This window comes from Homo sapiens, chromosome 4 (genome assembly GCF_000001405.40).
Source record: "Homo sapiens chromosome 4, GRCh38.p14 Primary Assembly".
NCBI classification, from domain to species: Eukaryota; Metazoa; Chordata; class Mammalia; order Primates; family Hominidae; genus Homo; species Homo sapiens.
The window spans coordinates 57,001,014-57,021,078 of NC_000004.12; the positions used below are offsets into that span (position 1 = coordinate 57,001,014).

The 20,065-nt window shown below is 40.2% G+C and overlaps 1 protein-coding gene and 1 pseudogene across 3 annotated transcripts in view; both read left to right on the top strand.

Annotated features, from left to right (window-relative positions):
* The window catches only part of POLR2B (RNA polymerase II subunit B), a 52,263-nt gene that overhangs the window by 22,118 nt on the left and 10,080 nt on the right, over positions 1–20,065 (top strand). For all 3 annotated transcript variants that reach the window (NM_001303269.2, NM_000938.3, NM_001303268.2), the window contains 10 exons: positions 4,233–4,429; positions 4,587–4,706; positions 5,803–5,989; positions 9,348–9,491; positions 9,735–9,874; positions 9,976–10,087; positions 14,489–14,643; positions 16,030–16,228; positions 16,547–16,715; positions 19,886–19,982. In NM_001303269.2, coding sequence (NP_001290198.1) covers positions 4,233–4,429; positions 4,587–4,706; positions 5,803–5,989; positions 9,348–9,491; positions 9,735–9,874; positions 9,976–10,087; positions 14,489–14,643; positions 16,030–16,228; positions 16,547–16,715; positions 19,886–19,982 — 1,520 coding nt within the window. The remainder of the gene's footprint in view (positions 1–4,232; positions 4,430–4,586; positions 4,707–5,802; positions 5,990–9,347; positions 9,492–9,734; positions 9,875–9,975; positions 10,088–14,488; positions 14,644–16,029; positions 16,229–16,546; positions 16,716–19,885; positions 19,983–20,065) is intronic.
* On the top strand, positions 1,679–1,779 carry RNU6-998P (RNA, U6 small nuclear 998, pseudogene; annotated as a pseudogene).

Consider the following 20,065-nt stretch of genomic DNA (forward strand, 5'->3'; position numbering starts at 1 on the left):
GTTGTCCTGATAATATTGAAAACTATTAAGTAATAAGATCTGTACATTAATAGTATATAGTAATTCAAGTTTAATCTCTTTTATAGTTCAGAGTTCAATTCAGAATAACGCATTGCATTTTGATTATATGTCTTTTTAGTCTTTTACAATCCTTCCTTGGCCTTATTTTTTTTGGAGACAAGGTCGCGCTTTGTCGCCCAGGCTGGAGTGCAGTGGCACAATCTCAGCTCTGCCTCCTGGGTTCAAGCGATTCTCCTGCCTCAGCCTTGTGAGTAGCTGGGATTACAGGCACGTGCCACCACACCTGGCTAATTTTTGTAGTTTTAGTAGAGACAGGGTTTCACTGTGTTGGCCAAACTGGTCACAAACTCCTGATCTCAAGTGAGGGGCAGCCTGCGTAGGCCTCCCAAGTGCTGGGATTACAGGCATGAGCCAGCGTGCCTGGCCTCCTCGGCCTTTCTTTGTCTTTCATAACAAAGTATATAGAGGACAGGCCATTTATTTTGTAGAATTGTCCTCAGTTGTGTTTTTCACATATTTCCCCATGATTAGATTCAATTTATGCACTTTTTTGGCAGAAAAAATACTTAAGTAATATTATATGCTTCCCAGGGCATCTCAACAAGAGTCATGTGATGTCATTTTGCCCCATTAATGGTACTGTTAACTTTGATCGCTTCACAGTGGTGTCTGTTAGGTACCTCCACTGTAAGGTTACTATTTTTGTGGGAACCTTTTATGGGAAGGATTTTTGAGGTTAAATGTCCAGTTCCTTATAAATTTTTTCCATTGATGCTCCTTATCTGAACAGTAAATGATATTCTTAAAATTGTCTTAAATTGTCCAGAGCGCTTAAGACTACAGAGAAATCTTTGTCACAGATTTTGCAGGCTAAATCTTTGTCACAAAGTTAGAACAGGGAGTATATTTTAGTTATTTGAATATTTGTTGGTGTGGTTACATGAGAAAATTGGGTTCTGGTTAGATTTTACTTTCAGATTTTGCCAGTAGTTACATACCTTATTATTATTTGAGAAAGGGTCTCGCTCTGTCACCCAGGCTGGAGTGCAGTGGTGAAATTACAGCTCACTGCAACCTCGACTTCCCGGGCACCAGTAATTCTCCCACCTCAGCCTCCTGAGTAGCTGGGACCACAGGTGTGCACAATCATGCCTGGCTAATTTTTTGTATTTTTGGTAGAGATGGAGTTTTGCCGTGTTGCCCAGGCTGATCTTAAACTCCTGAGCTCAAGTGGTTCACCATCCTCGGGCTCCTGAAGTGCTGGGATTACAGGCGTGAACCACCGTGTCCAGGCCCGACCTGGAGTTTTCGTAGTAAAGTGAAAAATATGATATGCTTTATGTATGTTGTCTTTTTGAGTATTACTGTTGGTTTTTTCAGCACTTAGGAAGCTTAAGCCAATTTTTACAAGTCTCTGAGTCAAGCATTCACTTCATAAAACTGCTTTATTTTTTTTCTTCCAAAAGTACATTATTGTTATTCCTTTTTTCTAATCTATATTTTAACAAAATCATTTTTTTTAAACAACAGTGGCAGTTTCCTTTGAAAAATATCACTTTGATTTACTGTACTATCTGTGACCTCACTTTGGTTGACATGGCCTTTTTCTGATCTTTGTTTCCATGATTGGAATTTTGATGTTTAAACTTGTGGAATGGTCCTCGCTTCTGTAGCACATATACTAATACTGGAACAATATGTAGGTTAGCATGTCTCTGTGTAAGGATGAGACACAAATGAGAAGGGTTCCATATTTTTGTTTGACCCCTGGGTCCTCCCCCTTTCTTTAAAAAAAAAAACCAAACAAACAAATTTGTGGACCAGTGATAAAAAGACATAGGAAATCAAGGGCAAGAAAGGCATTTCAGTGTCTGGGATAAGATCAGAGGGCACTTACAGAGGCCAGAGTTGTCAAATGTTACCCTTCATTTCTCATGCTCATTATCGTGTATAGTTGGAAATTTAGAATATGAGAACTGGTATGGAACTTAGAAATTATTTTATATAACCCTTTTGTAGATGAGGAAATCCATTACATGCCTTCTGAGAGGCCACAGATAGTGGCAGGAATGGGAGGCAGGTCTCTTTCACAGTGTGTTTTTAAAATAACCTTTGGGCTGGGTGCGGTGGCTCACGCCTGTAATCCCAGCACTTTGGGAGGCTGAGGCGGGCAGATCACGAGGTCAGGAGATCGAGACCATCCTGGCCAACGTAGTGAAACCCTGTGTCTACTAAAAATACAAAAATTAGCTGGGCATGGTGGTGTGCGCCTGTTGTCCCAGCTACTCAGGAGGCTGAGGCAGGAGAATCGCTTGAACCTGGGAGGCGGAGGTTGCAGTGAGCCAAGATCACGTCACTGCACTCCAGCCTGTGTGACAGAGCAAGACTGTCTCAAAAAAAATAAAATAACTTTTGGGCTGGCATGGTGGCTCACGCCTGTAATCCCAGCACTTTGGGAGGAGGATTGCTTGATCCCAGAAGTTTGAGACTGGCCTGGGCAACATAATGAGACCCCTGTGTCTGTAGAAAAGAAATAGAATGGGTGCAGTGGCTCATGCCTGTAATCCTAGCACTTTGGAAGGCCTACATGGGTAGATCGTTTGAGGCCAGGAGTTTGAGACCAGCTTGGGAAACTCTGTCTCTACAAAAAAAAGAAAAATTAGCTGGGTGTGGTAGTGCATGCCTGTAATCCCAGCTACTCTGGAGGCTGAGGCACGAGAATCACTGGAACCCAGGAGGCAGATGTTGTAGTAAGCCAAGATGGTGCCATTGCACTCCAGCCTGGGTGACAAAGGGAGACTGACTGTGTCTCTTAAAAAAAAAAAGAAAAAGAAGAAGAAGAAATAGTTGGGTGTGGTGGTGTTGTCTGTACTCCTCCTAGCTACCACTGCATTCCAGCCAGGGCGACAGAGTGAGACCCTGTCTCAAAAAATAAAATAAATAACTGTCTCCTTTGTAAAATATTAGGTTTAATTTAAATTAAATCTTTTTTTTTTTTTTTTTTTTTTTTGAGATGAAGTCTCACTCTGTTACCCAAGATGGAGTGCAGTGTCATGATCTTGGCTCACTGCAACCTCCACCTCCCAGGTTCAAGCAATTCTCCTGCCTCAGCCTCCCAAGTAGCTGGGACTGCAGGCACACGCAACCATGCCCGGCTAATTTTTGTAATTTTAGTAGAGACGGGGTTTCACTGTGTTGGCCAGGCTGGTCTTCACTACGTTGGCCAGGCTGGCCTTGAACTCCTGACCTTGTGATCTGCCCGCCTTGGCCTCCCAAAGTGCTGGGATTATAGGCATGAGCCTCCATTCCCAGCAAATCTTTTTTTTTTTTTTTTTTTACATCCAGGGTACACGCTGGATAAAAATTTATTTTTCTTTTGTAGATTTAGGTTCTCACTTTCTTTCCCTGGGTGGTCTTGAACTCCTGGACTCAAGCCATCCTCCTGTTTTGGCCTTCCAAAATGCTAGGATTATAGGAGTAAGCCCCACCCCACGCAGGCCAAACATTTTTTAATACCAAAACTGAAAACAATCTGGCACATTAACCATTTGTAGTTCAGTAAATTTTAATTTGACTATGAAATTTCTGTAAATTGATTTTAGATATCTGGAACTTTATTTTTCCATTGGTAAAATGTAAAAAAGAAACGCACCACTCTTTTTCCTTTTGAGACGGTGTCTCACTCTGTCACCCAGGCTGGAGTGCAATGGCACCATCTTGGCTCACTGCATCCTCTGCCTCCCGGGTTCAAGCGATTCTCTCACTTTAGCCTCCCAAGTCGCTGGGACTACAGGCATGTGCCACTGCGGCAGCTGATTTTTGTATTTTTAGTAGAGATGGGGGTTTCGCCATGTTGCCTAGACTAGTTGCAAACTCCTGGACTTAAGCTATCCACCTACCTCAGCCTCTTAAAGTGCTGGGATTACAGGCATGAGCCACTGCTCCTGGCCATGCACTACTCTTTTTATAATGGAATTATTTGTATCTTTCTAGAAAGGTAATTGCCTGTGCTGATGAGTGGTTTTTGTCAGAGATCGCTAGATCTCTGAGGTATCTTCTAAGAGTTTGTGATTCCTTGATTTTCTAAAAATACTCACATATTTTATTATGTTCATAGGGGTACTTGGCATGTTATAAACTAAGTGACAGTTTACTCATTTTAAGGTAGCAACATGAATTTGAAAATAACTTTTATTTAAATTGTCTGATAGGTTAAACCTTCTCTCGATGAAGCTTTTGTCATCCAAGAACAGAATGTTGCACTAAATTTCATTGGTTCAAGAGGAGCAAAGCCTGGTGTTACTAAAGAGAAAAGAATTAAATATGCAAAGGAAGTTTTACAAAAAGAAATGCTCCCTCATGTTGGTGTCAGTGATTTTTGTGAGACCAAAAAAGCCTATTTCTTGGGGTATGTTAAGTTTCATTGTTTTAAGTTCTTTATCAAGATACAGTTGAGATAAAGGTTTTTCTTAGAGTCAAAAATGATGTTTTTAACATATAAATCAAAAAAAAGTCCAAAACTAAGTGTTTTCCCTCTTTCTTTCTTTCTTTTTTTTTTTTTAAAGATACATGGTTCATAGGTTACTTCTGGCAGCTTTGGGTAGAAGAGAACTAGATGACAGAGATCACTATGGAAACAAGAGATTGGATCTTGCTGGGCCGCTGCTTGCATTCTTATTTAGAGGGTAAGGAATTACAGAATGAAGTCATTAAAGCAGGGAGATTTATTTCACTTTAGATTGATCATTGCATATGGCCAGGCTAAACTGTGTTGGCATCCACGTTGGGTACTTATGAAATTAGCTACATTCTTATTGCTATTTGCTCAGATTTAGTTTTGGTTCATGTCTAGGAAAGCCAGGTTTATGAGGACAATATATTACGTGTTTATATATTTTCTTTATTCCTCTGGTAGCTTTGTAAGATGTTTGAGAAAGCTGAATTATTGCCTTGGTTTTCCTAAGGGCTAATATTGGATTTTGTCCTGCTTTGTACACATATATACAAAAGCTGGAGATAAATATATAAAAATACTGTCAGTGATTGTCTCACAGTATTGGTATTATGTGCAGTTTTTAATTTTATTCTTGATGTTTGTATATTTCCCATATTTTCTATAATTGGAAAAAAGTTATTTTTAAAAATGAAATATGTAGACAGTACAAAAAGGATAACATTAGCATTGTCTTGCACGTGTTTTGTTATTTAGTATGTTATAGATTAGTGTTTTTCAACCTTTTTTTGATATTGCCCCACTAAGGAGCCTCTTTTAACATTTTTGTTTATTGAGATGGAATTTCACTCTTGTTGCCCAGGCTGGAGTGCAATGGTGCCATCTCGGCTCACTGCAACCTCTGCCTCCAGGGTTCAAGCGGTTCTCCTATCTCAGCCTCCCAAGTAGCTGGGACTACAGGCGTGTGCCATCACACCCAGCTAATTTTTCTGTTTTTAGTAGAGACGGTGTTTCTCCATATTGGCCAGGCTGGTCTCAAACTCCTGACCTCAGGTGATCTGCCCACATCAGCTTCCCAAAGTGCTGGGATTACAGATGTGAGCCACCATGCCCCACCTCTTTGACATTTTTGTGTAGTTGCTCCCCTGCCATGTATGTTCACGTACTATACATATATCTGTGCTTTAGACATAAAAGAGCAACAACTTTCACTCTGCCCAAACAATTTTTGCTCACCTTCCCCACGCTTTTTTTTGCAATATTCCTCCTGTTGAGAATATATGTTGTAGACCTCTACATGTTTAAAATAATACCATTTTATTCGGCAGTATGTTTAAGAATTTGCTTAAAGAAGTGCGGATCTATGCACAGAAATTTATTGATCGAGGAAAGGATTTTAACTTGGAGTTGGCAATTAAAACACGGATCATATCTGATGGCCTAAAATACTCTTTAGCTACTGGAAACTGGGGTGATCAAAAGAAAGCTCATCAAGCCAGAGCTGGAGTATCTCAGGTAAGTGTGCCAACTATGACTACAGGCTCAATAGGAAACATGTTTATAGGACTAGTAGATTCTTTTGTTTGTTGAATATAAATTATTTTGCTTTTCTTTCTTGGTCAAAGGTAAAACTACTGGGTGCCGGGTGTGGTGGCTCACACCTGTAATCCCAGCACTTTGGGAGGCCGAGGTGGGCTGGATCACCTGAGGTCAGGAGTTTGAGACCAACCTGGCCAACATGGCGAAACCCCATCTCTATTAAAGATACAAAAATTAGCTGGGCATGGTGGTGGGTGTCTGTAATCCCAGCTACTCTACTTGGGAGGCTGAGGCAGGAGAATCGCTTGTACCTGGGAGGTGGAGGTTGCAGTGAGCTGAGATCATGCCACTGCACTCCAGCCTGGGCAAAAAGAGTGAGACTCCGTCTCAAAAAACAAAAAAAAAAACTTACTGGGGACTTTTGAATTATGAACATGAAATTTTCTTAAATTAGCTATTAGTATTACTAAGATAGATTTTTGGCTTGCAGTTTAGAAACTCAAAGTAATTAAAAAATTAGAGTAGCTGCTTAGTGGGTGAGACAGTCCATGTTAGTGAAATTTTTATGTCTTAAAAGCTCCACATTAGAAGCCAACTAAGAGATAAAAATGGTCATCGCCCTCCTTTGTTGGAAAATACAGTACTTCTGACACTGGTTTCTATATGTTGGTCTGTTGCATATATAATGACTGCAGTAGCTATTCTCAGATGGAGTAATGGAGAAAAGCTTTTTAAAGAGTGTATCACTGGGCATTTTAATTTTTTGTATTTGCTTTTCATAGATGATTGAAAACCTGTAATGTACTTTATGCCATTTTTAGGGGGATCTCCCCCTCCTTTCCTTGTTTAAACTGGCCTATACCAGTATCACCTGATTGATTTGGCATTCGGACACCAATTTCAAGCTCCTTTTTCCTAGAAATCTGGATGCTGTAAGAAATTTTGAGGGGCTACTGATAGCAAAGTTAATATTTAAATTCCTTGTAATTCAGTAAGGATTTATTGGGTATATTTGATATTTGTGATACTGAGTTCACACACATGAATGAGATGCTGATCTCAGCCCTCAGGGAGCTCATCAGCATCTAGCAGAGGAAACAGATTCATTCATGTGTAGCTCACTATGCCCTGTGCTGTGTTATGACAAATGCCACATTGCAAATTCAGTTCAAGGAATTGGTTTTTTTTTTTTTTTTGAGACAGAGTCTTGCTGTCTTGCCCAGGCTGGAGTACAGTGGCAATCTCCGCTCACTGCAAGCTCTGCCTTCTGGGTTTACACCATTCTCCTGCCTCAGCCTCCCGAGTAGCTGGGACTACAGGCGCCCGCCACCACGCCTGGCTAATTTTTTGTATTTTTAGTAGAGACGGGGTTTTGCCGTGTTAGCCAGGATGGTCTCGATCTCCTGACATCGTGATCTGCCCGCCTCGGCCTCCCGAAGTGCTGGGATCACAGGTGTGAGCCACCGTGCCTGGCCCAGTTCAAGGAATTGTTATTGGGACCTGTGATGTGCCAGGCACTCTGCCACATGCTGGAGATGCAGTGATCCTGATCTTCAGTAGTTGACAGTCTATGCTTGTAGATGTAAACAGATAATTACAGCATGGCATGGTAACTGTTATAATAAGAGATGTGCACTGCTGCTCTGTGGAAATGCTGGAGAAAGATACTTAGCACAGCCTGAGAAGGTGAAAAGAAGTCCTTGTTTAGGAGGTAACACCTGAACTGAATCTTGAAGAGTACTTGGAAAACGCCCAAGTTGCGAGGTAGGTAGAACCAGCAGCTCATAAGAGAGCTTAGAGAACTTCTTAATATTCTGAATTAAAAGAGATGGAGGCAGGAAGGAATGTGTGTCTGTCGGGGGAGCTAGAGCAGTTCTGGGTTTTCAAATCAAAGTGGAGGCTTAGGAGGATGGGAACCAGCTCATGAAGAGGAGTGACGTGGTCATTTTTGTTCTTTTGGACAGATTCACAGTAATTGGCAATGTGGAGAAAAGAGAAGGGCAAGTTTGGTGGCAGGAAGATTGTTGCAACAGCCTGGGGTGAGAAGTAATTAGGGACTGGACTAGAGCAGTTTTGTAGAGATGGAGAGTAAATTTTGGAAATATTTAGGAAGTAAGTTTCGTAAGACTTTGTGATTGATTAGTAGAATGGTTGAAAACTCCAATGAGTACAGAAAAGAGAATAGTTCTTCCTGGTGGTGTGTCAGATGGCTTTGTAGAGGTGGTATCATTTCACCAGGCAGAGCAGAGTGGAGAAGTGTATTTCATTCTGTGGCAATAGCATGGTCAAAGGCTTGGAGGTGAGGGTGTATGGTGATGTCAGTGGAGTACAGGAGTGTAAGGAGACTGGTAGGGGAAGGTTGTTTTTGGGGCTTCATTGAGGAGGACTTTAATGTTGTGCTCTTCTGTAGCCAGTGGCTACCTGTTTAATTTTTAAGTGGGTAAGTGTTAATAATTCTGGCAAGTGAAGAGGGTAGATTGGAGGGAACCAGGCAGGGACTTATGAGCTGATGGACGTAGTATAGGTGAGGGGAAATGGGCTGGTCTATTACTGTGACATTGGGAAGGGAGGGGCTAGGTTTTTTAGAATATTTGAAAATAGAATTGATAGGGTATGTTTATAGATGGGTAGAAGGAGGAACTTGGAGACAAAAATGATTTTGAGATTTCCAGATTGAGAGAAAGGTGATGCTGCTTATCCACGACAGAAGACTTAGGAAAGAGGAAGAAAGTTTGAATTGTTTAAGGACTGGGGGAAGATGGAGATTTATAAATAATTAATAATATAGAGCTTGAGTTGTCTGCTTTATATTGCCCTAAATATTATCTTATTTATAAATAAAATCTTGCTTAGTATCCTGTAAGTATTAGTAATGGATGTTTGCATTTTTCTATTAGATTCAGAGGCCTCAGTCTGGAAAAAGTACTGAGATGGATTAGTGATGTCTGCTATGATCAGAGGAGTGTGAGTTGGTAGAATTTAACTTAACACTTACTGAGTACTTAATGAATGCCAAGTACTGTTCTAGGTGCTGGGATACAACAGAGAATAAAACAATTTTAAAAAATTCCCTGCCTTCATGAAACTAATGTCCTAGTGTTTGTTTGGAGACCATAAACAGAATGTTTATGTGGTATGTTTGAATATATTTGCCATCCCTGCTGCAAGTGGCAGGTAAGTTAAAGTGTCAAACAACATTATTCAGGGAAAGAATAGAGAAATGGGGAACAGTTTGATACTCAGTAGATTATATGTAAAAATATGACTTTGCCTCAGTGTAATAGTATGAATCACAGAAATGTCCAGACTTTAAAGATTGGCTATTTTTTTCTAGGTGTTAAACCGCCTGACTTTTGCGTCTACTCTTTCTCACCTGCGTCGTTTAAATTCTCCTATTGGTAGAGACGGCAAGCTAGCAAAACCAAGACAGTTGCATAATACGTTGTGGGGAATGGTGTGTCCTGCCGAGACCCCAGAGGTAATACATTAGAATTTACATTCAGGACAAAAAGTCAGTGGGTAATTATGTAGGGCATAATTACTTTTAGAAATAGATGTTTGAAAAATTATGCAGAGTGGTTTAGAAATAAGTTTTTTTTATAATTGTATTCTTAGAAAGTAAGAATAAATCTTGAAATCACATTGAAGGAAAAATGTTTATGGAAAAGAAGTTTGATAGGCATGTAAAATCAGAATGACTAATACTTGGTTTATTTTTTAGGGCCATGCTGTAGGACTTGTGAAGAATTTAGCCTTGATGGCGTATATTTCAGTTGGATCTCAACCATCTCCAATTCTGGAATTTTTAGAAGAATGGAGTATGGAAAATTTAGAAGAAATTTCTCCTGCAGCTATTGCTGAGTGTGTATAGATGGAATTAGTTTTTTAAACTATAGTTAATCTTTAGTTGTTGCTTAGTATAGAATTGTTAAGTGTAAAATGCTTTTGCTTTTTCATTGTAGTGCAACCAAGATTTTTGTTAATGGCTGCTGGGTTGGAATACATAAAGATCCCGAACAACTTATGAACACCCTAAGGAAATTGAGACGTCAGATGGACATCATTGTGTCTGAAGTAAGAATCTTTAGTTAAGAGGGTGTGGACTGTGAGATTTTTAAACAAGGCATAGGACTAGTGAAAGTTATCTTTGCATTGGCATCTTTTCTTTGAACTTTATTCCCTTGAACTGTAAAGTGTAAATTTAATTATAAGTTATTGCTAGGCCGGGTGCAGTGGCTCATGCCTGTAATCCCAGCACTTTGGGAGGCCGAGGCGCAGATCACCTGAGGTCAGGAGTTCAAGCGCAGCCTGGCCAATATGGCGAAACCCCATCTCTACTAAAAATACAACAATTAGCCAGGCACGGTGGCATGGGCCTGTAATCGCAGCTACTCGGGAGGCTGAGACAGGAGAATCACTTGAACCCGGGAGGCGGGGGTTATGGTGAGGTGAGATTGCACCTCTGCACTCCAGCCTGGGTGACAGAGTGGGTCTCTGTCTCAAAAAATAAAAAAAAGCCTGGGCATGGTGGCTCACGCCTGTAATCCCAGCACTTTGGGAGGCTAAGGCAGGCGGATCACAAGGTCAAGAGATTGAGACCATCCTGGCCAACATGGTGAAACCCTGTCTCTACTAAAAATACAAAAATTAGCTGGGCGTGGTGGCGCGCGCCTGTAGTCCCAGCTACTCAGGAAGCTGAAGCAGGAGAATTGCTTGAACCCAGGAGGCGGAGGTTGCAGTGAGCCAAGATCACACCACTGCACTCCAGCCTGGCGACAGAGCGAGACTCCATCTCAAAAAAAGAAGTTATTGCTTGCCTTAATCTTTCGATGCATGCTTCCAAAAATTTTGGCACATTTTAAATTATTAAATTATATTTTAGAACTCAAATTACATTTTAAAGTAAAAATTCTTTTGGGAATCTTTTTATAAAGCTGAGAATACTTTTTAAAAGGGAATAACCATCTGGGATTTATCCTTTGAATCCAGAGATTCATTAATAAAATGTGATATACCACTAATAGATTCTTTTATATTTTGGAGGATATTGAAGTGCTTTGGGATTAGGATGGGTTTTAAAAAAATCATTACAATAAGGCCGGGCCTGGTGGCTCATGCCTGTAATCCCAGCACTTTGGGAAGTTGAGGCAGGCGGATCACTTGAGGTCAGGAGTTTGAGACCAGCCTGGCCAACATGGCAAAACCCTGTCTCTACTAAAAATAAAAAAATCAGCTGGGCATGGTAGCATGTGCCTGTAGTCCCAGCTACTCGGGAAGCTGAGGCATGAGAATTGCTTAAATCCGGGAGGCAGAGGTTGCAATGAGCAGAGATTGCACCATTGTACTCCAGCCTGGGTGACAGAGTGAGACTCTGTCTCCAAAAATTTATTAAAAAAAAAAAAAATCATTACAATATATTGTGAACTTTATTACTCTCCCAAGTAAGGGTTTTAGTATACTGTTTGCGGAATGTAGTTCAGGCTTTTAATTTTCCCAAATCTATACCTTGGGTGAAAGTGGTTTTTGAGAGAAACTGAACACGCTTAGCCAGTAGCTGGTCTTTGTACCTAAAACAGCAGAGAAGAGAGTTTGGTTGTTCTGGGCCTTTTCCAGCAGCAGACCCTGAGTGTTTTTTTGTTATTGTTGTTGGGGGGCAGGGACAGAGTCTGGCTTTGTTGCCCAGGCTGGAGTAGAGTGTTGCTATCTTAGCTCACTGCAACCTCTGTCTCCCAGGTTCAAGAAATTCTCATGCCTCAGCCTCCTGAGTAGCTGGGATTACAGATGTGTACCACCATGCCCGGCTAATTTTTGTATTTCTATTTTTATTTTTTTGAGGTGGAGTCTCACTCTCTTGCTCAGGCTGGAGTGCAGTGGCATGATCTCGGCTCACTGCAACGTCTGCCTCCCGGGTTCAAGCAATTCTCCTGCTTCAGCCTCCTGAGTAGCTGGGATTACAGGTGCCTGCCACCATGCCTGGCTAATTTTTGTATTTTTAGTAGAGACTGGGTTTCTCCATGTTGGCCAGCCTGGTCTCGAACTCCTGACCTCAGGTGATCCACCTGCCTCAGCCTCCCAAAGTGCTGGGATTATAGACGTGAGCCACTGCACCTGGCCAATTTTTGTATTTTTGGTAGAGATGGGGTTTTGCCATAGTTGGCCAGGCTGGTCTTGAAGTCCTGGGCTCAAGCCATCTGCCTGCCTTGGCCTTCCAAAGTACTGGGATAACAGGTGTGAGCCACTGAGCCCAGCCTGGCCCTGGGTTTTGACCCAGGCTTATTTACAGCTTGAAGTCAGGAAGAGAGTGATTCACTTGAGGGCAGGCAAGGCTAAGAGAAAGCTCAAAAAAATGTCTCTCTCTGTCTCTCTATCTCTCTATCTCTGTATTTTTTAATAGAGAGATTAAAAAATCTGGGCACTATGTTGCCCAGTTGGTCTTGAACTCCTGGGCTCAAGCAGTCCTTCCTGCCTTGGCTTCCCAAAGTGTTGGGAGCTATGCAGTAGGTTGGCTGTATTTTTTTTTCTTTTTTTTTTGAGAGGATGTCTCTCTGTCACCCAGGCTGGAATGCAGTGGCACAATCATGGTTCACTGCAGCCTCTACCTCCTGGGCCCCAACGATCCTCCCACCTCAGGCTCCTAAGTGGCTGAGACCACAAGGTGTGTGCCACCACACCCAGGTTTTGTTCATCACACAGTGTGTATTATGTATTTAGCTCTGCTGTTGTAATGAGAACCAATCGTAGATAATACATAAACTGATAAAACTGTGTTTACAAAAACAGCTGGTGGGTGAGGTAGAGTGGTCGGGTGTGGTGGCTCATGCCTGTAATGGCATAACTTGGGCTGGCTGAGGTGGGAGGATCGCTTAAAGCTAGGAATTTAGGACCAACCACCCTGGGCAACATATCAAGACCATGTTTATATTAAAAAAAAAAAAAAAAGAGAAAAAGACCCATAGAGCTGTATTCTGTTAGGAATGTTAGTTTTCTAAGAACTTAAGGCAGTGCATTTGAAAGAAGAATCTTTCTTGGACTTTAGAATACTACTCATGATATTTTTGCTCACAGTGTTCCTCCTTAAATTACTTTCTAAGGACAGGCAGTAGACTAGGAACTTGGAACATTTTTCTCTTTCTTGTCTTTTGACTCATTTTAGAGAAAAACTTGATGTTTTGTTGTTTTGTTTTTTGAGACAGGGTCTTACTCTATTGCCCAGGCTGGAGTGCAGTGGCATGATCTTGGCTCACTGCAACCTCTGCCTCCCGGGTTCAAGTGATTCTTTACCTCAGCCTCCTGAGGGGCTGGGATTACAGGCGCACACCACCACGCCCAGATAATTTTTGTATTTTTAGTAGAGACAGGGTTTCACCATGTTTGCCAGGCTGGTCTCAAACTCCTGACCTCAAGGTGATCTGCCCACCTTTGCCTCACAAAGTGTTGGGATTACTGGCATGAGCCACCGTGCCTGGTCTTTTTTTTTCTTTTTTTTTTTTTTTTGAGACGGAGTCTTGCTCTGTTGCCCAGGCTGGAGTGCAGTGGCGTGATCTAGGCTCACTGCAAGCTCTGCCTCCCGGGTTCATGCCATTCTCCTGCCTTAGCCTCCTGAGTAGCCGGGACTACAGGCACCTGCCACCACACCTGGCTAATTTTTTTTGTATTTTTAGTAGAGATGGGGTTTCACCGTGTTAGCTAGGATGGTCTCGATCTCCTGACCTCGTGATCCATCCACCTCGGCCTCCCAGAGTGCGGGATTACAGGCTTGAGCCACCGTGCCTGGTCTTTAATAGCATATTTTATTTGACTTGATACATCCCAAAGTATTACATCAACATTCTATTAATATAAAAATTATTAGTAAACTATTTTACGTTCTTTTTTTTCTGGTTTGGTGCTGTCTTTCAAATGCATTATGTAGTTTATACTTACAACACATCTCAGTTCAGAATCGCCACGTTTCAAGTGCTCAGTCACATGTGGCTATCCCCTGTATTAGATAGCTAGACTATAAGCCATTTGTCTGAGGGTGGGTGTGAGCAGTCAGGCTTACGTCTGATAGGTGGGTGTGAGAAGTCAGGCTAATGACTGGGAAAGTATGGTCAAAGCAAAGTGATATAGGGCTGGTTTTTGAAAGGTTACAGGGTGAGATATATGTCATCAGCAAAGAACCAAAATAAGAAATTGTCACATACTAGTGTTTGTGGTATTGAAAAAATATTTCCTACGTTAACTTGCATGACATTATTACCAGATAGTATTGTACAGGTTTATAATTGCCAAGGTTAGATTTTTCATTCATAAAATTTTAAATTATACCTAAGTTTTTAATATGTTAAACAATGGTAAACTAAGATTTGCACATTTTACTTGATAAATTGGTTGCTCCAGAAATTTAGTAGGATTTGTATTGTATTTTTAACTAAGCCTAATAATAAAGAGAAAATAAAAATTTGTGGAACTGTTTTTTCTTTTTATATGTAGGTTTCTATGATCAGAGATATTCGAGAGAGGGAGATTCGGATCTATACGGATGCAGGCCGTATTTGTAGACCACTTCTGATTGTGGAAAAACAAAAGCTACTTTTGAAGAAGAGGCATATTGACCAATTGAAAGAGAGAGAATATAACAACTATAGGTAAAAACATGCAGTGAGAAAAATGTGTGTATTAAAAATTGAGATAGAATTTACATACTGTAAAATTAACCTTTTTTTATTTTTTATATTTTTATTTAATTTTATTTATTTATTTATTTTTTTGACACAGCCTCAGCTGTGTCGCCCATGCTGGAGTGCAGTGATGCGATCTTGGCTCACTAACCTCCACCTCCTGGGTTCAAGCAATTCTCCTGCCTCAACCACCGTAGTAGCTGGGATTACAGGTGTGTGCCACCACACCCAGCTAATTTTTGTATTTTTGGTAGAGACAGGGTTTCGCCATGTTGGCCAGGCTGGTCTTGAACTCCTGGTCTCAGGTGATCCGCCTGCTTCAGCCTCCCAGAGTGCTGGGATTACAGGCATGAGCCACTGCGTCCGGCAAGTTAACGATTTTTAAAAAGTATACAATTAGTGGTTTTTAGTGTGTTTGCAATGTTGTGCAACCATCACCACTATCTTAATTTTAGAATACTTTCATTGCCCCGAAAAAACTCTGTATCCTTAGGAGTCACATTTGTTTTTCTTAACTTCTATTATGAAGCAAGATAATTAATAGGATTTTATTTAAGCTTAAAAGTCTTTTGATTGCCCAGGTGTAGTGGCTCATGCCTGTAATCTCAGCACTTTGGGAGGTCAAGGTGGGAGGATTGCTTGAGGCCAGGAGTTCAAGACCAGTCTGGGCAACATATTGAGACTCCCATCTCTCCAAAAAATAAAAAAATTAGTCAAGTGTGGTGGAATGCACCTGCAGTCCAGCTACTCAGGAGGCAGGAGGATCACTTGAGCCCAGGAGTAGTGAGTTTTGATTGTACCAGCCTGGGCAACAGAGCAAGACCCTGTCTCAAAAAAAAAAAGTTTTTGTGATATATTAAAATCTATTAATAGTAATAATGCGAAATAACCTATATAATCTAAATTATTACATATAATATGACAATAATATGAATAATATAATAAGAAATTTAGTAAAAAGATGAAGCTGCTTTAAATATTTATTTTTTAGCAATATGAATGTATAGTTATGTATACTAATATAAAAATCATTCAAACAATATGTATGATAAATTTAAAAAATTGCCCTCCAATGTATACTCTCTTCTTCACAAGTATATACTGGTAACAGTTAGGTGTGTATTCTTCCAGTGCTTATTCTCCAGCAGCTTACCTATTTCACTTGTCAACAATCATGTAACTATGTTGGTCAGTTATATATAATATTAAACTATATATATATATAAATATATATGTATATTTAATATATAATATTAAACTTATTTAAATATAAATATAGGAATACTTTTAAGTAGGAGGAATAGTTAGTTAAAATACTTGAGGAAGTAGAAAATTGAGTGAATTCTTTTTTAGTTGGCAGGATCTTGTGGCCAGTGGGGTAGTGGAGTATATTGATACCCTGGAAGAAGAAACAGTGATGCTTGCAATGACTCCAGATGATTTACAGGAGAAAGAAGTAGCTTATTGTTCCACATATACACACTGTGAGATTCATCCCTCAATGATCCTTGGTGTCTGTGCATCTATTATTCCCTTTCCTGATCATAACCAGGTTGGTATCACTTTTTGTCTTCTGGTGTGAGGAATTGGGAGAAGTAATAAAAATTGAAAGTAACTCTGTAGTCTTATCTGGAGGGAAAAAGCCTTTTAATGAAAAGGCTATTAACTCCTACGGAATCAGTATTTGATATAATTGCTGTTGTGTTTCATGGTTAAGAGCCGTAATTGATTATTCCAAATGGTTATTACTTACTGTTTTTGAAAAAAATCAGGAGTTTTACCAATCATATTTCTTTTGATTTATTGTCAGAGTCTTTTCCATTAGTGATAGTAACTTTTTGTTGTTTCTGCTTTTCATTTTTACGTTTAGTCCCCTAGAAACACATACCAGTCTGCTATGGGTAAGCAGGCTATGGGAGTTTACATCACCAACTTCCATGTTCGCATGGACACATTGGCCCATGTTCTCTATTATCCTCAAAAGCCACTTGTGACTACACGGTCTATGGAATATCTACGATTTAGAGAGCTGCCAGCAGGTATGGTCAGTTTTGCTCTACGTTATTTAAGATCCTTCTGTGCTTAAGGCACTTTTCTGGGTGCTTGGGAGGATTAAAAAATAAATATGACATAGTGCCTGTTCTCACGGAATTTATAATATGGTGGGAAACATGAACATAATAAAAAGGTAGGTATGTGGAAAGTGTTTTGGTGGAGGTACAAAGTCCTTTGGAAGCACAGACTGATGGAAGCAATTAATTCCTGTTGGAAGTCTAGATCCAGTTTCATGGAGAAGGTGGCATTTTAGATTGGAGCAAAATTGATGAAGGGGTATTTGCATTTGAGAGGTGGTTTAAGCAAGGGCCCAGATGGACGAAGACATGCAAAATGTACGGTACAGTTAGTCATGTCAGCTTAGTGGGAGTGGAGTGTAAATATATGGAAGTGAAAGCTTGGTCTCAGTGTGGAGAGAGCTTGAACAGGTTGAATTTTATTTTGAAAATGGAGACCCATCCAACCTTTTGGATCAGGGAAGTAATACAATTAGAAATTTGTTTTAGGAATACCATTCTGACAGCGGCATAAAGAGTAGATTACAATCAGGTACTGTATTAACAGGGAGCTAATTTAGGGGTTTTTGCAGTAGTATAAATGTGAAATGGCAAGGTCCTAAAGAAATGAAAAAGAATGATGGGTAAGATACCTTTTGAAATACACTTGATAGGACTTGATGACTGGTTGAGTGTGGAGCAATGAAGAGAGGAATTGGAAATACTGTTGGTGTTTGTGGCTTGGGTGATTAAAGAGAGGTGCTTTGAATAGGTTGGGGGAAAAATAAGATTGGGAACATGTTAGAAGGGGAAAGAGGTTTTAGAGGTAAGACAATAATTTTGTTTTGGATATGTTGATTTAGTGTCTTAGTGTCAGAACACTAAGACGTGAACTTCCAACAGTGAGTTGCAAACATGATTTGAAAGACGGTCAAGTCTAGAGATGTAAAATTTTTAATTTATTAATGATAATTATAGATTACTATGAAATTGCCTAAGGAGAATTTAGAATGAGAAAAAGGCCAGAGGCAGACAATTTTAGACACCAGGAAGAGAAATTAAGAGAGAAGATTTGAGAAGTAGCTGATAAGGAGGGGAATTCCAGGTTTGTAGGAGATTCTCAGGGAGACTGGATGGTGGGTAAAATGGTGAAGAGAAATCTGAAGGGTATGAGTGTTGACTATTAAAGGAGACAGTAGAGTTCTTTGGCACTGTTATCTTTTGTATTAACAGACTTTTGGCTTTGAATGTGGGTAACATTTGTTATTTGTTAGTAAAGTTTATCTTTAGTGTATTGTAATGGGGCTCTACCATTTTGATAGCAAATTCTCATAGGTTAAAATTACTTATTTTCAAAATCCTCCACAAGGGGTTCCTCTTGTCTAGAAAAGCAAAATCTGTTAGGTTGTCTACACAGTATGCATGTATCTTTGGGCTGTGCTTGCAGTGCTGTGTTTTCTCCAACATTTAGATAATACAGTTTCTTTATGGCTAGAGAGGAAAATAAATATACAGAAGGACTAGGTTTGAAAGCAAATGTTCCTTTGGTACTGGTGTGAAGTGGAGAGTCATGGCTGGCAGGGACTGCAGTTCTGTTATTCCTGACTTCATCATGGCATCTTTATTTTGAAATTCTTTTTTTTTTTGTAGAGATAGGGTCTACTTTGTTGCCCAGGCTGGTCTCAAACTTCTGGGCTCAAGTGATTTTCCCACCTCAGCCTCCCAAAGTGCCGGGATTACAGATGTAAGCCACTACGGCCAGCCCATCGTACCATTTTTAAAAAAACTTTTAACATTTTACCACATTTGCTCTATTATTCTCTCCCTTTTTATTTCTCCTCCTGAACCACATGAGAGTAAGTTGCAGGCATGAAGCCATATCATTCTTTAATTCTTCAGTATGTGTTTCCTAAGAACAAGGACATTCTCTGCAGTGTAGCCATCAAAATCAGGGTAACATTGATATCCATATAGTCAGCAGTCCTCAATTCAAATTTTGCCAGTTGTCCTAATGATGTCTTTTTTTTTTTTTTTTTTTTTTGAGAAAGCAACTGTTATTGTATTCAAACCTAACGATGTCTTTAATGGGTCTAGGAGCTAATCCAGGATTGTGCATTGCATTTAATTGCATGGTTCTTTAGTTTCCTTAATCTAGAACAGTTTCTCAGTCTTTCCTTGTCTTTCATGACCTTGACATTTGTGAAGAGTTCAGGAAAGTTATTTTTGCATTGTGTCTCAATTTAGGTTTGACTATTGTTTCCTCATGATGATATCCAGGTTATGAATATCAAGTTATTTTATTTTATTTTTTTGAGACGGATTCTCGCTCTGCCACCAGGCTGGAGTGCAGTGGCACGATCTTGGTTCGCTGCAACCTCTGCCTCCTGGGTTTAAGCGATTCTTCTGTCTCAGCCTCCTGAGTAGCTGGGACTGCAGGCGCGTGCCACCACGCCCAGCTAGTTTTTGTATTTTTATTAGAGGTGGGGTTTCACCATGTTGGCCAGGATGGTCTCAATCGCTTGACCTTGTGATCCACCTGCCTCGGCCTCCCAAAGTGCTGGGATTACAGGCGTGAGCCACCATGCCCGACCTAAATATCAAGTTATTTTATGGGCTCATCAAACAAAGTGTTTTGGCAGCAGCAACTAAGAATTTCATTGTGGTGGGAAAGATATGATATTTTCTTGGTGGCAGAAGGAGAGGGGAATGGGGTAGTATCAGTTTCAAACCTAAAAGCTGGGGCTTGAGTCTATTGCTTATTAATTTTGGGATCATGGGTAGATTATTAATTCACTCCTCTGATTCATGAGAATAATAATGCTTATCTTGTTTATGGCACAGAGTTGCTGTGAGGATCAGGAAACTTGGTTTGGGGAGGCACTTCCTAAGTAGGAGGTGACTCATGTGTAATCACTTACTATAAGAATGGATACATTGGGAGTGACTAGTCCTAGGATTTGCTTGTGGGAGATATTTAGCCATCAGAGTAGTTGCCTCACAGATTGCTATTCCAGGAGGAATAGACTTTGGCAGTTACCATGATAACAAACACCCAAGCATTTATGGCAAATATGATGTAATTAAAGTTGATTTAAAGAAAGGGCAGTTTTTCTGTTTTCCAGGTGATGTTTTAATGTATGCTCTTAAATTCACTGCAGGCATCAACTCAATTGTGGCCATTGCATCATACACTGGATATAATCAGGAAGACTCTGTTATCATGAATCGTTCAGCTGTAGACCGCGGCTTCTTCAGGTTAGTATTTTGTAAATTTGTCAAAACACAGATACAGTGGAAACACTAATTTTTTATGCAAAAAAAGTTCTTAAAATACAGTT